Genomic DNA, 16,779 nt, shown 5'->3' on the forward strand with positions numbered 1-16,779 from the left:
AAAAACACTATTTAAAATTCAGGGGCAACAGAATTAGCTATTTTTAGGATGTCATTTTGTAATCTTCACTTATTCACTTAACATTAAATAAAGATCATTCTTTATGTCCTTATGTCATGTATGGCCCTAATAATGGTAGAGGGTTATGGTACAATGAAGACAAAAACACACAGGCAGATGCCACAGAGCTCCAAAACAAATAACTACTCTTGGGAGTCTATCTGTTTCATAGGACACGCTTCATCTTTGCATCGTGAACCACCAAGATATATGTAAGATACCTTAGTTTCAGAAGAGCCCTGGTCTTGTACAAAGGTTTTTTATTTTTATTTTTTTAACTTTTAAGTTCAGGGGTACAAGTGCAGTTTTGCTACATAGGTAAACTCGTGTCATGGGGTTTGTTGTACAGATTATTTCATCACTCAGGTATTAAGCCTAGTACCCATTTGTTATTTTTCCTGATCCTCTCCCTCTTCCCACCCTCCACCAGGCCCCAGTCTGTGTTGTTCCCCTCTGATGTGTCCATGTGTTCTCATCATTTAGCTCCCGCTTATAAATGAGAACATGAAGTATTTGGTTTTCTGTTCCTGAGTTAGTTTGCTAATGATAATGGCCTGCAGCTCCATCTATGTCCCTGCAAAGAACATGATCTTATTCTTTTTTATGCCTGCATGGTATTCCATGGTATATATGTACCACATTTTCTTTGTCTAGTCTAACATCAGTGGACATTTAGGTTGATTCCATGTCTTTGCTATCGTGAACAGTGCTGCAAGTGAACATACCTGTGCATGCATCTTTATAATAGAATGATTTATATTATTTGGGGTATATACCCAGTAATGGGATTGCAGGGTTGAATGGTATTTCTGTCTAGGTCTTTGAGGAATCACCACACTGTCTTCCACAATGGCTGAACTAATTTATACTCCCATCGTGTTCCAAAAAGGGATGTGTATAAGTGTTCCCTTTTCTCCAAAACCTCACCAGTATCTTAAAAAAAAAAAAAAAAAAAAAAAAGGCTGACTGGTGTAAGATGGTATCTCATTGTGGTTTCGATTTGCATTTCTCTAATGATCAGTGATGTTGAGCTTTTTTTCATAAGATTTTTGGCCACATGTATGTCTTCTTTTGAAAATGTTCATGTCCTTTGCCCACTTTTTTATGGGTTTTTTTTTTTTTTTTTTTTTTTTTTTGAGACAGTCTTACTCCATCGCCCAGGTTGGAGTGCAGTGGTGCCATCTCGGCTCACAGCGACGTCTGCCTCCCAGATTCAAGCGATTCTCCTGCCTCAGCCTCTCAAGTAGCTGAGATTACAGGCGCACCCTTCCACAACCAGCTAATTTTTGTATTTTTAGTAGACACGGAGTTACACCACGTTGGCCAGATTGGTCTTGAACTCCTGACCTCAAGTGATCTGCCCACCTCAGCCTCCTAAAGTGCTGAGATTACAGGTGTGAGCCACCGTATCTGGGCTGGGGTAGTTTTTTCTTGTAAAGTTCCTTATAGATGCGGGATATTAGACCTTTGCTGGATGCATAGTTTGCACAAACTTTCTACCATCCTATAGGTTTTCTGTTGATAATTTCTTTTGCTATGTAGAAGCTCTTTAGTTTGATCCCATTTGTCAATTTTTGCTTTTGTTGTAGTTACTTTTGGTATCTTTGTCATGAAATCTTTGCCCATTCCTATGTCCAGAATGATATTGCCTAGGTTGTCTTCCAGGGTTTTTATAGTTTTGGGTTTAACATTTGAGTCTTTAATCCATCTTGAGTTGATTTTTGTATGTGGTGTAAGGAAGAGGTCCGGTTTGAGTTTTCTGCATATGGCTAGCCAGTTATCCTAGCACCATTTATTGAATAGGGAGTCGTTTCTCCATTGCTTTTGTCAGGTTTGTCGAAGATCAGATGGTTGTAGGTATGCAGTCTTATTTCTTGGTTCTCTGTTCTGTTTGATTGGTCTGTAGGTCTGTTTTTGTACCAGTAGCATGCTGTTTTGGCTACTGTATAGCCCTGTACTATAGTTTGAAGTCTGGTAGCATGATGCCTCCAGCTTTGTTCTTTTTCCTTACGATTGCCCTGGCTATTTTGGCTCTTTTTTGATTCCATATGAATTTTAAAATAGTTTTCTCTAGTTCTGTAAAGAATGTCAGTGGTGATTTAATAGGAATAGCATTGAATCTACCAATTGCTTTGGGCAGTATGGCCATTTTAATGCTATTTCTTCTTCCTATCCATGAGCATGGAATGTTTTTCCATTTGTTTGTGTCATCTCTGATTTATTTGAGCAGTGGTTTGTAGTTCTGCTTGTAGAGATCTTTCACCTCCCTAGTTAGCTGTTTTCTTGGGTATTTTATTCTTTTTGTGGCAATTGTGAATGGGAGCTTCTTCCTGATTTGGCTCTCTGCTTGACTGTTACTGTTGTATAGGCATGCTAGTGATTTTTGCACATTGATTTTGTATCCTGAGACCTTGCTGAAGTTGTTTATCAGCTTAAGAAGCTTTTGGGCTGAGACTGTGTGGGCTTTTCTAAATATAGGATCATGTCATCTGCATACAGAGACAGTTTGACTTCCTGTCTTCCTATTTGGATATCTTTTTTCTTTCTCTTGCCTGATTGCCCTGGCCAGAACTTCCAATACTATGTTGAATAGCAGTGGTCAGAGAAGGCATCCTTGTCTTGTGCCAGTTTTCAAGTGGGAATGGTTAGTACTCCTCTAGTTTCATAGCAAAAATTAAGTTGCTTGACCAGGCTCAAAAGCAGAAACCAAGGGAATATGACAGAAACCAGATGCAAACCGTCTCTATAAACGGTGCTGACAAGCTAGTACAAGTTGCCCCCTAGTCTTGACTCTAGCACAGGACTATATTCATCACTAGTTAGAACATTTCATTCAGGTTTGGCCAACAGTTAGCAACATGACTGGTTCCAGGTGTTCCCGGGGATAAACACATGGTTGCAATAGACACTTACGCATTCCACACGCTCTTACCCTTGGTTAAGCTTTTTAAATCACTTGTCATCATTCTTCTTTTGGCATCTTTTACATTATATAACAGAAAAACAAGAAGATAAACACCAAAATACTAATCATTTGTAGTTACTGAAGTAGATTATAACTTTTAAAAAAATTGCAGTTTACCAGATAATCCAGTGAAAACTTGTTCTTAATCATGTACAAGCTTGACAGTTTTACCTCTTTCTACCACAGAAAGTTGAGTTTTGTGAAATTTTATAACAATTATTAATCTAGTTATTTCTCTGATAATCTAGTCTTTTACCAGAAGACCATCTTGTAGGGATTTTAATTCAGTTTCCTTATACATTTGCTCATTCATTTGGTCATAGGATGTGTTCATATGAACCTCACCAATGATACCATTTGCACCAAGTAGCAATTACATTATGATTTAGATTGCTTACTAAATGTTTTCTCATCTTTCTCAACAAAATCAGCTCTTGCTTATATACCAAAATGTTGTAATTGACTGAGGCACCATAAGTTTCCCATAAATTCATTCTTTTTGCTCGCTCTGCCAAGATACCAGGCCATTTTCCTTGCACTACCTTGGCTTTTAATTGAGGAGCGTACTTAATCCTTCTTGAGTCTGGGTACATGTGTCTTCCCATCTTTATGTAACTGTTGAGTTTGTTTTATCATTTTTCCAGGCTGCTTGCCACCATTTCCCTTCCTCCTGAAATAACATTTCTTGTCAACAACCAGTAGGTCATTAAGTCGTCTTGCTCAGTATGTCTCTTTTCATTAAAGGCAAATCGGGCTTACCATAGGACTCATAGAACTGTGCCAGTGTTTCTGCCCAAATTGGTTTAACCATTAAATAAGTTGTTGCCATTGAGTTTTTATTGCTTGAATATAGTTTGAATATACCTTTTGGATCCAAAATCTTTCAGGAACCTTTTGAGAGATGGCGGGCGAGGGAAGACAAAAGTTTTCAGTTCCCCGAGACAGTGTCTTATGAGTAGTAATTATTCTCAGCAAAAGATCAGGGCTATAAGTGTGTAAGCCCACCTAGTTATCCTTTACTTGGTTTCAGTACTAAGAATTTTTTTAACCTTAGTGCCTTCCGCCCACAGAAACAAGGTACATAGGCATTAGAGCACATGTTACTATGAGTAGTTGGAAATGCAGCAGTTATTTTATGTCTGTGTTTCTGGACACCTTTCTTAACAAATCATAACTGCGTTTAATAGTTACGTGGTGGTCTGTGACTTCGTTGTTCAACAAAATCGTTTGTGTGCATTTCAGAGACAACGTGTCCTAATTTTGCCTCCCAAAAGTGGTTCTCTACAATAGATAAAACCAATGGGAGCCAAAAGGCAAGCATTAGAATTATTCTGTGTTTATCCTCAAGATGTTGTTATTAGCATCATCAAGATTCAGACAAAATTCTACAGATTAAATTATTAAATCTCCTGCAACCCATCTTAGACAGCTTCAAATAAAGGAGACAATTTCATCAGGTCTTATGGGCATCTGTAAATATAGCTAAGAGCATTCTCTTGCTCCCAGGCTCTTACGAGATACCAAAATAATGTTACCTTTCTTTTTTGCATTATTCATTTATTGGCTCCCTTTCTGAGAGTAAAGACTTTTCCTCCTTTCTCCTGTTGTTAGTTTTTTACCCAGACCTTGATCCCTGAGTTAGGAGACCATCACATTCGGCAAGAGGACTTACCTGTGGAGCTGACAGCAATGTGAGACTGGCCAGTGCTTTTCCCCTTTGTCCATTCCCAGTCACATGATGTTGAGGTGGATAACTACAAGTTTATAGGACTGTCTTGTCCACATGTGAGGAAAGATGAAAAAAAAACATTAATTCCAAGCTTAGATAGGTGAAAATAAAAACAGTCCATTCCATCATTCCTCAGACAGTTATATTTAGAGGTATTATCTTCATGTCATGTTTGCAACTGATCCGTCTTCCTGAGCTTGTAAATGTAATCCATATCCATGTTCTACATGATCAGTCAGAGAAAAAGAAAAATGTTCAGAAATATGGAGGAAATTGTTATCAGTTCCTGTGTTATTACTCCACCCCTCCCTTATTTTTCCTGAAGTATCTCTATAATCTGTTTAGTGTTGAGTCCCCCTTTAATTTCATGCCTTTTATGTTTTGACACACATTCCATCATGCAACTCTGTCTCTCATTACCACTTTGAAAAGTGTTTCAAACATTTGCTCCAATACTTTGTGTTTGGTAAGGTATATAAGTTAGTCTGTGGTAGATAATGGTTGTTAGCACATTGTTGAACTGCACCTGCAGTAAAGTGAGTTTCTTTATCAAATGATATATAAGTAGGAGGTCTAAATTGAAATTGTTTCTGCTGCGGCCTCTAATAATGTTAAAGGTGATTCCTGCAGCTAACAGGTATACACATCCAAATGAGTGTGTATTCTAGACAAGACCTGTTGCTGTCCACGTGGAACCATAGATAATGGCCACCATAATTCTGTGTGAATGTATGTTTTCACTTCTTTTAGGTATATACCTAAGAGTGGAATTGTTGCGTCACTTAGTAACTGTAATCATTTGAAGAACTACAGACTGTTTTCCAAAGCAGCTGCACCATTTTACATTCCCCCCAGCAGTGCATGAGGGTTCTCACTTCTCCACTTCATTACTAACACTTGCTTTGTTATCTATATTTTCCTGATGACTTACGAAGTCAAGAATCTTTTCACATGTGTATTGGCCATTTGTATATCTTTGGAGAAATGTCTGTTTAGATCCTTTGTCCCTTTTTTTTTTTTTTTTTTCCCCCCGAGACGGAGTCTCGTTCTGTCACCCAGGCTGGAGTGCAGTGGCGCAATTTTGGCTCACTGCAGCCTCTGCCTCCAGGGTTCAAGCGATTCTCCTGCCTCAGCCTCCCAAGTAACTGGGATTACAGGTGCACACCACCATCATCCACCTTGGCCTCCCAGAGTGTTGGGATTACAGGCTTGAACCACCACGCCTGGCCCCTTTGTCCATTTGTCCATTTTTAATTGGGTTATTTTGCCTTTTTATGATTGAGTTGTAAGAATTCTTTATGTAATATTGATACAAATCCCGTATCAGATACATGATTTCCAGATTTTTTCCCCCATTCTCTGGGTTGTCTTTTCTCTTTTTGTGATGGTGTCTTTTAAAGTGCAAAAGTTTATTTCGGCGAAGTCCAGTGTATCTCTTTTTTTCTTTTGTTGCCTGGGCTTTTCGTGGCATATCTAAGAATCCTTTGCCAAATCTAAGGTCATAAAGATTTGACCCTGAGTTTTCCTCTAAGAATTGTATAATTTTAAAATATGGTATGAAGATCCAGTTTCATCTTTTTGCATATCCAGTTGTTCCACTGCCATCTGTTGAAAAGACTATTCTTTCCCCCATGTAATGGTTTTTTGGCAACCTTGTTGAAAATCACTTGATGTGTATGGGTTTATTTCTGAACTCTCAATTCCATTATTTGGATCTATAGGTCTTTTCTTGCACCAGTATTACACTGTGTTGATCATCATGGCTTCCTTAGTATGTTTTTGAAATCAGGACACATGTGAGTCCTACTTTATTGTTTAGGCTTTTCTGGGTCTTTTGCAATTTTTTATGAATTTTAGAATTTGCAAATGTCTACAAAGACTGTGTTAAATCTCTGGATCAGTTTGGGGAGTATTTTCATCTTAATGTTAATTAAGGCTTCTGGTCCATGAATAGGGGATGTTTTCCTTTTATATCTTTAATTTCTTTCAATAATATTTTGTAGTCTTCAGAGTATATTTTTATGCTGTTACGAAAGGCATTTTTTTTTTTTAAGTTCTAGGGTGCGTGTGCACAACGTGCAGGTTTGTTACATGTGTATAAATGTGCCATGTTGGTGTGCTGCGCCCATTAACTCATCGTTTACGTTAGGTATATCTCCTAATGCTTTCTCTCCCCGCTTCCCTTACCCCACTACAGGTCCCGGTGTGTGATGTTCCCCTTCCTGTGTCCAAGTGTTCTCATTGTTCATTTCCCACCTATGAGTGAGAACATGCAGTGTTTGGTTTTTTGTTCTTGCTATAGTTTGCTGGGAATGATGGTTTCCAGCTTCATCTATGTCCCTACAAATGACATGAACTCATCCTTTTTTATGGCTGCATAGTATTCCATGGTGTATATGTGCCACATTTTCTTAATCCAGTCTATCATTGATGGACATTTGGGTTGGTTCCAAGTCTTTGCTGTTGTGAATAGTGCCGCAATAAACATACCTGTGCATGTGTCTTTATAGCAGCATGATTTATAATCCTTTGGGTATATACCCAGTAATGGGATGGCTGGGTCAAATGGTATTTCTAGTTCTACATCCTTGAGGAATCGCCACACTGTCTTCCCCAATGGTTGAACTAGTTTACAGTCCCACCAACAGTGTAAAAGTGTTCCTATTTCTCCACATCCTCTCCAGCACCTGTTGTTCCCTGACTTTTTAATGATTGCCATTCTAACTGGTGTGAGATGTATCTCATTGTGGTTTTGATTTGCATTTCTCTGATGGCCAGTGATGATGAGCACTTTTTCATGTGTCTGTTGGCTGCATAAATGTCTTCTTTTTAGAAGTATCTGTTCATATCCTTCGCCCACTTTTTGATGGGGTTGCTTTTTTCTTGTAAAGTTGAGTTCTTTGTAGATTCTGGATATTAGCCCTTTGTCAGATGAGTAGATTGCAAAAATTTTCTCCCATTCTTTAGGTTGCCTGTTCACTCTGATGGTAGTTTCTTTTGCTGTGCAGAAGCTCCTTAGTTTAGTTAGATCCCATTTGTCAATTTTGGCTTTTGTTGCCATTGCTTTTGGTGTTTTAGACATGAAGTCCTTGCCCATGTCTATGTCCTGAATGGTATTGCCTAGGTTTTCTTCTAGGGTTTTTATGGTTTTAGGTCTAACATTTAAGTCTTTAATCCATCTTGAATTAATTTTTGTATAGGGTGTAAGGAAGGGATCCAGTTTCAGCTTTCTACATATGGCTAGCCAGTTTTCCCAGCACCATTTATTAAATAGGGAACCCATTCCCCATTTCTTGTTTTTGTCAGGTTTGTCAAAGATCAGATGGTTGTAGATGTGTGGTATTATATCTGAGGGCTCTGTTCTGTTCCACTGGTCTATATCTCTGTTTTGGTACCAGTACCATGCTGTTTTGGTTACTGTAGCCTTGTAGTATAGTTTGAAGTCAGGTAGTGTGATGCCTCCAGCTTTGTTCTTTTTGCTTAGGATTGACTTGGCAATGCAGGCTCTTTTTTGGTTCCATATGAACTTTAAAGTAGTTTTTTCCAATTCTGTGAAGAAAGTCATTGGTAGCTTGATGGGGATGGCATTGAATCTATAAATTACCTTGGGCAGTATGGCCATTTTCAGGATAATTGATTCTTCCTATCCATGGGCATGGAATGTTCTTCCATTTGTTTGTGTCCTCTTTTACTTCGTTGAGCAGTGGTTTGTAGTTCTCCTTGAAGAGGTCCTTCACATCCCTTGTAAGTTGGATTCCTAGGTATTTTATTCTCTTTGAAGCAATTGTGAATGGGAGTTCACTCATGATTTGGCTCTCTGTTTGTCTATTATTGATGTTTGGGAATGCTTGTGATTTTTGCACATTGATTTTTGTATCCTGAGACTTTGCTGAAGTTGCTTATCTGCTTAAGGAGATTTTGGGCTGAGATAATGGGGTTTTCTAGATATACAATCATGTCATCTGCAAACAGGGACAATTTGACTTCCTCTTTTCCTAATTGAATACCCTGTATTTCTTTCTCCTGCCTGATTGCCCTGGCCAGAACTTCCAACACTATGTTGAATAGGAGAGGTGAGAGAGGGCATCCCTGTCTTGTGCCAGTTTTCAAAGGGAATGCTTCCAGTTTTTGCCCATTCAGTATGATATTGGCTGTGGGCTTGTCATAAATAGCTCTTATTATTTTGAGATACGTCCCATCAATACCTAATTCATTGAGAGTTTTTAGCATGAAGGGCTGTTGAATTTTGTCAAAGACAAAAGGCATTTTCTTAAGTTCATTTTTGGATTCCTCATTCCAAGTGCATAAAAATCCAACCGATTTTTATGTTGATCTTACGTTTCACAGCCTTGCTGAGTTTATTAGTTCCAATTGTTTTTAATGGATTTTTAGAAGTTTCTATATACAAGATCATGTTATCTATTAATAGAGATAGTTTTGCTTCTTTTCTATCTTCTGCAACTGCCCTGGCTAGAACCTTCAGTACATTGTTGAATAGAAGAGGCAAGAGCAGACATCCTTGTCTTCTTTCTCATCATACGGGCAAAGCATCTAGTCTTTGACCATTATATATTTTATTACATTATTCATAGATGCCCTTTAGATCCATTAAATTTTTAGTAGCTACTAAGCTCCCCAGTTTATTGTCCTGAGAGGATTTTTAAATCCCTTTTAGTTTTTTTGTCCTGAATAATCCTAATCTTTTCCCTACCATTCAGCCCTATTAAGAAGGAACTGAGCTAGGTCTATGACAGCCTTCCTCACATCATTAGAAACCTGTGTCAGTACAGTCTCGTAGTATGAAACTAAACATGCGACTATGCCTACATGAGACTGGCAATACAGAATTAACTAACATGGCCCTTGGTTTATACTAGTCCACAACATAAGGGGCAAGTGCCAGAAAATACTGCTGTAATTCTGATTTATTTAGTAATGTTGTTAATCTAACTCACAATGTAAATGCTATTTGGTATAACTTTGGTATAATTGGTAAAAAATAATTTGACTGATTTTATCAAAACATTTGATAATACTAATATTGATGAATTGGGAACTTGACTTAAAACCACAAGGTATTCTCTTGATGGAAGGTGATTGGTTAGAGAAAGAACTACACTGAGTTAATTTTACATTGAATCAATATACTGGTACATTTTATAAAGTTCGATTTTTTTTTCTTTTTTTTTTTTTGAGACAGAGTCTCATTCTCTCACCCAGGCTGGAGTGCAGTGGCGCAGTCTTGGCTCACTGCAACCTCTGCCTCCCGAGTTCAATCAATCAGTTCTCCTGCCTTAGCCTCCTGGGTAGCTGGGATTACAGGCATGCGCCACCACACCTGGCTAATTTTTGTATTTTTAGTAGAGATGGGGTTTCACCATGCTGGCCAGGCTGGTCTCGAACTCCTGACCTTGTGATCCACTTGCCTCGGCCTCCCAAAGTGCTGAGATTACAGGCATGAGCCACTGCGCCCAGCCCATAAAGTTCAATTTTTAACTGACAGAGTAAGTAAAGGGGTCATCAAGCTTGTACATGATTAAGAACAAGTTTGCACTGGAATGTTTGGTAAACTACAGTGTTTCTTTAAAATTACACCTACACTTCATTGGATGGCTAAAAACGATTAGAAAAGAATGATGATGAGTAATTTGGTTAAGAAAGCTTGGTCCAGGGTGGGGACTGTACAAGTCAGGATTAATCTCAACTGGGCTACTGTACCCCTGTGCTTATCTCCAAGAATACCAGGATCCATGGTGCTGATGTTTAGCCAAACCTGAATGAAGTATTAACTAGTGATGAATTCTGGGCCTGGGCTAGAGACTACGATAAACCAGGGGGCAACCTTGGGCTGGCTTGCCAGCATTGTTTAATAGAAAATGTAAAGATTGATTTTACATTTTTCACCTGGTTTCTGTCATGTTCCCTTGGTTTCTGCAGTTGAGCCTGGTCATGCTGGTCATGCAGCCCAATTTTGCCTACCTGACCAGAGAGGCATAAAAGACCTCTCCTTGAACAAGAATCAGGTTCTCCTGGGAGCTATGCCTAGAAGTTCTGGACCCCTCTAATGTTTCCCTGTGCCTGCTTTCTCCTTGCATACTGTGACCTCTACCTTTAATTAATGCCTGTTAGCCACAAGAATCCCAATTATATGACCCATATACCATCTCATTTTGAAAAAAATATGAGTTGTGGCTTTTGTTTTATTTATTCTCAGAGATGGCCATCTAGGACATGTATTCAGCCAACAATATTTGCTCAGCTTATACATCACAGAGTTGTGTTACAAAGCCATCATTCCTCTGTCCTTTGATGAATCCTCAAATTACTTTGTTCTAGAATAAACTTTTTTATATTACAAAAGAAATCTCATGAATTTACCTTCAGGTTCACGATACATACAAGAAATTAGCAAATCGCTAATAGAGAAGTTTTGGCTGTTGTGATTGGGTTCCAACATTGTAACTGTGACTTTTATTCCTGATGTTGACAATGTGGAATGAGATGTATTAACTTATAAATACTGTGTTGCTCAAGTGAGACTAAAAGCACAATCCATGCCACCTGCACCATAGCCCACTTTCAGCATAAAGAAACTCGAATGTATTCTTCAAGTAGTACACATCCTACATTGGAAGAATGTTGTTCTAAGATTTTATAGGTAACTGTTGCTCCTGTGAAATTTGACAGTGAGATTCCTTCTATTTTTAGTGTAATAGGAAATGGCACCAATAGTATGCCATAGTATATATTTTGGGGGACAAAAATACTATGCTCATTTCACCACTTTATTCCTCTTTATTTCATGCAATTTTAGGTAGATGTGTATACTAAAATCCAACAGTATCCCAAAGAAAGACTGTTAAGAATAACAAAAAAACTAGCATATTAATCTCTTTTCTTGGGAATATTGAATATATTTCTTGTTACTTGTATCTAAGTTCTGACTCTGATTTTTACAGGGGAAACAAGGCAAACACATTTTATATGGCTGCAGTGAGCTTTTTAATGCTACACAGTTCATAAAACAGGTAAAGTATACATTTGTTGTTTGTTTCTGTTAACATACCCCTAGTTGCTATTGGTATTTTTCAAAAGAGAGAAAGAAAACCACTTACTCACCTGAACCAGCCGAAACCAAAGCCATCCAGCTATACCAAGATAAGGTGTTTTCATGGACGACTAAGAAAACCTTGATAAGTAATAATGTTTCCAGTAGGAGTTTGCCCATCCTTCCAGAACTGAAAGCCTTTTCTTTGGCTTTTAATGATCCTTTAGAAATACAAAAATATATGAGAACTGTCAGTAGTGTGTCACTCATGACATTTCTCTTTATATTGTCACAAAGTTAGCACTAATTTTTTTAATTCCCAGGGTTTTTCTTTTCCATCAATTGAACGTTACCTAATAATGTTTACATTTCTTTACTATGACGACGTTTATTGCAATTCCATTTTCTTTTCTTTTTCTTGGTAGAGACAGTCTCTTGCTATGTTGCCAAGGCTGGTCTCAAACTCCTGGCCTCAAGTGATCCTCCCACCTCAGCCTCCCAAATAGCTAGGATTACAGGCATGAGCCACCATGACCAGCCTTCAGTTTTAACATTTGAGTTAGTGGTGAACATTAAGATTTATTATTCTAGGAATGCAGTGAATAAAATAGGAAGTGTAATTTATTAAGGGGTTTACAAATATGTTTGAATGTTTCTTTTATGATCTTTTTTAAAAGTTTTATGTATGATTTTGTGTTTTGTTTTAGTTGTCACAACTTGGACAAAAGTAACACAGAAGAACCTTACTATGATAATCTACTTGGAATGTGGATAAATGTAAAAAGAAGAAAAGTTAGAAGAGCAATATGTTTCCTTCTCTGTAACAGTGTCCTAACAGTGAAAATCAGAGTTATTTGTTAATTTTTAAGGAAATTATATACTTAATATGTATTGATTAAAAGAAACATTTCAGAAATAAAATTTCAACATTGTTCATTTTCTCTGATAAATCAGAAAGTACTAATATAATAACTAATAGGTTATGATTGAAGCTGGTGACATTTTAAGGTTATCATATTTAAATTTTATTTGATTGGTTCGTGAGTCCCCTACTTGTATGCATTTTAATTATACAACTACTTTCTCATAGTTTGTTGGGTATCCATGTTGCCTATAGATTTTAGATGGAGATTTTAAGCCACTTTAAGTTCCCTTCTTCTGGCACACCTATGTATATTTTATCACATAAAGTCCCTCCTTCATGTAATGGTGATCAAGGCAACACTAACATGATTTGGAATGGACAAATACAAAACAGTCATCTCATAAAGTTGTAAATAATACGTAAAAGTTAGTGTTAAACTTGATTCCAAGCTTCTTTGGTATGCAGTACTGACAAGAAGTATTGATCAGTCATACCGTTCAGTACGTCTGTAAGATAAAAAGCAAGCCAATTGCTTGAAAGGGAAGAAAAATAAACACTTCCTATTATAAAGGCCAGGGAGCCTTCCCTCCTAATGAGCCTCATATCAACAGGAATCTGTAATGTTACTGACAATACATACAAGATTCACAGGTCAAGAAAAATAATTCTAGATAGGTAGGGGTCTGTTAATCTGACTGACTTATTCCTGAGACAAAAGTGTGTGGTGGAATGGAAGGACTGAGAATACATCAAGCAGTTTTTGTAAGTAACATAAGTAACGTTTATCCTATGCAGCCAGCTAGTTAAAGTCATATCCCTAAAAAAGGATCCTAGAAAGAACACAATCCCCAAACAGTAAGCCTCTCTACCTCACTGGGGTATGAGCTGAAAGAAAGAATCTCTAGTCAGGGTCCAGATTATATTTTTTTAACTTAATACAGACACAAGTAATCAGGGTACTAAAGTTTGATGACACCAGTAATTATAGCCTAGAAAAAAATGTTATAGCAAATGTAATCAAATACTAACCTTGGCTGTTAAAAAAAAGCACTGTGGAAATGTGTTCAGGACAAACACAAAATGGCAGAGAATAGCTCACACCAAATACGATATTTCCTCTCTTAGTGCCAGCAATGTGCATCACCCATTTACTTTATTCAGTGTTCATCAAGCTTGCAAAACTTTTACACTGCTCCTGACAGTGTACTAATAGTATTTGAAATGTAATTTCAGGACTTTCCCTGCACATTAATTTGTTTAAATGTTGTTATACTGAGTCTTTGAGACATAAATATAAATATTCCACACATAAACATGAAAAATCTCTCTCTTCAAGCAATAAATTATGACATAGGGCTAGAGAGGAAAAAAAGATGAAATTTAGGTATAAAATTCAAGATCCTTTCTATAAAGAAAACACTGGGCCGGGCCCGGTGGCTAATGCCTGTAATCCCAGCACTTTGGGAGGCCAAGGCGGGCAGATTGCCTGAGGTCAGGAGTTCGAGACCAGCCTGGCCAACATGGTGAAATCCTGTCTCCACTAAAAATACAAAAATTAGCTGGACGTGGTGGCAGGCACCTGTAATCCCAGCTACTCAGGAGGCTGAGACAAGAGAATCTGTTGAACCTGGGAGATGGAGGTTGCAATGAGCCAAGATCACACCACTGCACTCCAGCCTGGGCTGCAAGAGCAAAACTCTGTCTCAAAAAAAAAGAAAAAAAGAAAACATTAACTGGAGAAAGATTTAGTGAGCGTACAGATATAAAAGATGTTAGAAAATACTTAAAGGATAGAAAAATATAAAAGCATATTTGAAAAAAACTAGAAGTTAAAAATAAAATACCTAAAATTTAACTCAGTGGATAGTTTAGCAACAGATGAAATGTGACTAAGAAGAAAATCTGAACCAGAAGATGGAGCAAAAGAAATTATCTGCAATGTAACACAAAGAGATAATGGAAGCAAAGGAAAATAAAATAGATGAATAATGGGAAGGTCAACCAGACTGGGCAACAAAGGGAGCCCCCCACGCCTACAAAAAATAAAATTACCCGGGCTTGGTGGCACGTGCCTGTGGTCCCAGCACTCCAGCCTGGGAAACAGCAAGACCTTGTTTAAAGAATGGGAAGGTCTAACAGTCATCTGGAGTTCCCAAAGGAGAAAAGAGATAAAATGTGGCAGTGATAACACTTGAGGAGATGATACCTAATAATTTTTCAAAATAGACACCTCCTAGCAGAATAAAAAAAAGTTCACCCCTTGATATCATGAAACTGCAGAATACTAAAAGTAACTCTTAACAAAAACAGTACAAGAAAAATAAGATTCACTTCTAAGGAGGGAGGAGGAAGGGAAGGGGGCGGGAGGAGGAGGAGAGAGCTGACTTCTCAGGTGCAACCGTGAGACATAAAATTGTGGAATGGCATCTTTGAAACTAATGAAAGTGAACTGCCAACTTATATGTTAATATCTAGCAAAATGCTCTTAAGAGGACAAAGTACACACAGACAAAAAAAGTTTGCCACCAGCAGAATCTCACCAAAGGAATGTCTAAAGTGTATACTTCACGTGGGAGTAAAGTGATTCCAGGTGTGAAAAGGATTGAAAATAAAAATTATGTAAAACTAAAACAACATTGTTTGAAACAACTTATGGCTTTAAAAAAAGAATTTAAATACATCACAACACAAACTGGAAGAACTCTTTTTTTTTTTTAGTATATGTGCTGCCGAAGCGAGCACTGGAAGAACTCTTAATGATCCGAAACTGTAGGATCTCCCAAATCCCAATTTTTCTTTGCCCTGACACAGGACAAACAAAATGCCTTGGCCACTGTGTGACCTGGCTAGCTTCATGTTTTCCCCTACAAGCTTGGACATTCCCAGGCACTGATAAGTTTTTTTATATTGCTGCCCAAAACACTCTTAAGATAAAATGTAGAAGCTAGCCCTGGCTCTCAGCTGTATTCCTTAAACCCCACATAAACTCCATATCCCAATCCCCTTGTTGCAGACATCGTAGAACATCTTTTTTTTCTTACTCCATCACAAGTACCATTCTAGCACCCTGTAAGTTCCCTAATAAATGTTTTGGACTGATTTTGGAATCCCAACCAGCGCCATCTCAGAACAGTTGGGGGTAGTCACTTGCAACAATTTAACTGCCACTACTTTTGGGGTAACCAACCACAGGTTTGGCCAGACAGTGTCATAAGGTCCTTGATTGGATAAAATGTGGCAGTGATAACACTTGAGATGATATCTAATAATTTTTTAAAACAGATAAACCCATTTTGCCATCTGTTAAGTACTCATTAACTTTATGTGTTTGTATATATGTACATATGTATGTATGTATGTATGTATGTATGTATGTATGTATGTATGAGACAGGGGCTTGCTCTGTCGCCCAGCCTGGAGTACAGTGGCATGATTACAGCTCACTGCAGCCTTAACCTCCCGGGCTATGGGAGGTATACGGGAAGGGGTGTGGAGCTTCCGTGTCCTGTGTGGGGCACCACCCTTCCAGCTACCTCCCCATGTTCAGCAACCCAGAAGCTCTTGAAACTCTGTACTTGTGGGTTTTTAATGGAGACTTCATTAACAGGCAGGACTGATTAAATCACTGGCCATTGCTCATCAACTCAACTTTCAGTCCCTCTTCTTTTTATTTATTTATTTATTTATTATTATTATACTTTAAGTTTTAGGGTACATGTGCACATTGTGCAGGTTAGTTACATATGTATACATGTGCCACGCTGGTGCGCTGCACCCACTAACTCGTCATCTAGCATTAGGTATATCTCCCAATGCTATCCCTCCCCCCTCCCCCCACCCCACAACAGTCCCCAGAGTGTGATGTTCCCCTTCCTGTGTCCATGTGTTCTCTTCTATCCTTGGAGATCAAAGGATAGGACTGAAAGTTCCAACCCTCTAATCACATGGTGAGTTCCCCTAGCAACCAGCCTCCGTCCTGTGGCTATCAAGGAGCCCCCAGCTATCAGGCATCTCATAACCTTACAAAAAGACATTACTTTGGCTATTACAAGGGTTTCTGCACCTGTGTGCCAGGAATTGGGAACAAAGACCAAATCTATATGTGTTATTAC

At 38.2% G+C, this 16,779-nt stretch overlaps 1 protein-coding gene across 7 annotated transcripts in view; it reads left to right on the top strand.

The window, feature by feature from the left end:
* The window catches only part of SCFD1 (sec1 family domain containing 1), a 113,597-nt gene extending 100,823 nt beyond the window's left edge, over positions 1 to 12,774 (top strand). For 5 of the 7 annotated variants that reach the window (NM_001283031.1, NM_001283033.1, NM_001283032.1 and 2 more), the window contains 2 exons: positions 11,714 to 11,782; positions 12,510 to 12,752. In NM_001283031.1, coding sequence (NP_001269960.1) covers positions 11,714 to 11,782; positions 12,510 to 12,533 — 93 coding nt within the window. In that variant the 3' untranslated portion in view covers positions 12,534 to 12,752. Of the gene's footprint in view, positions 1 to 11,713; positions 11,783 to 12,509 lie in introns of all 7 variants that reach the window. The other 2 variants (XM_005267469.3, NM_016106.4) reach the window with 1 other exon arrangement.
* Positions 12,775 to 16,779: the final 4,005 nt, after the last annotated feature.

The sequence above is a fragment of the Homo sapiens genome, chromosome 14 (genome assembly GCF_000001405.40).
Source record: "Homo sapiens chromosome 14, GRCh38.p14 Primary Assembly".
NCBI classification, from domain to species: Eukaryota; Metazoa; Chordata; class Mammalia; order Primates; family Hominidae; genus Homo; species Homo sapiens.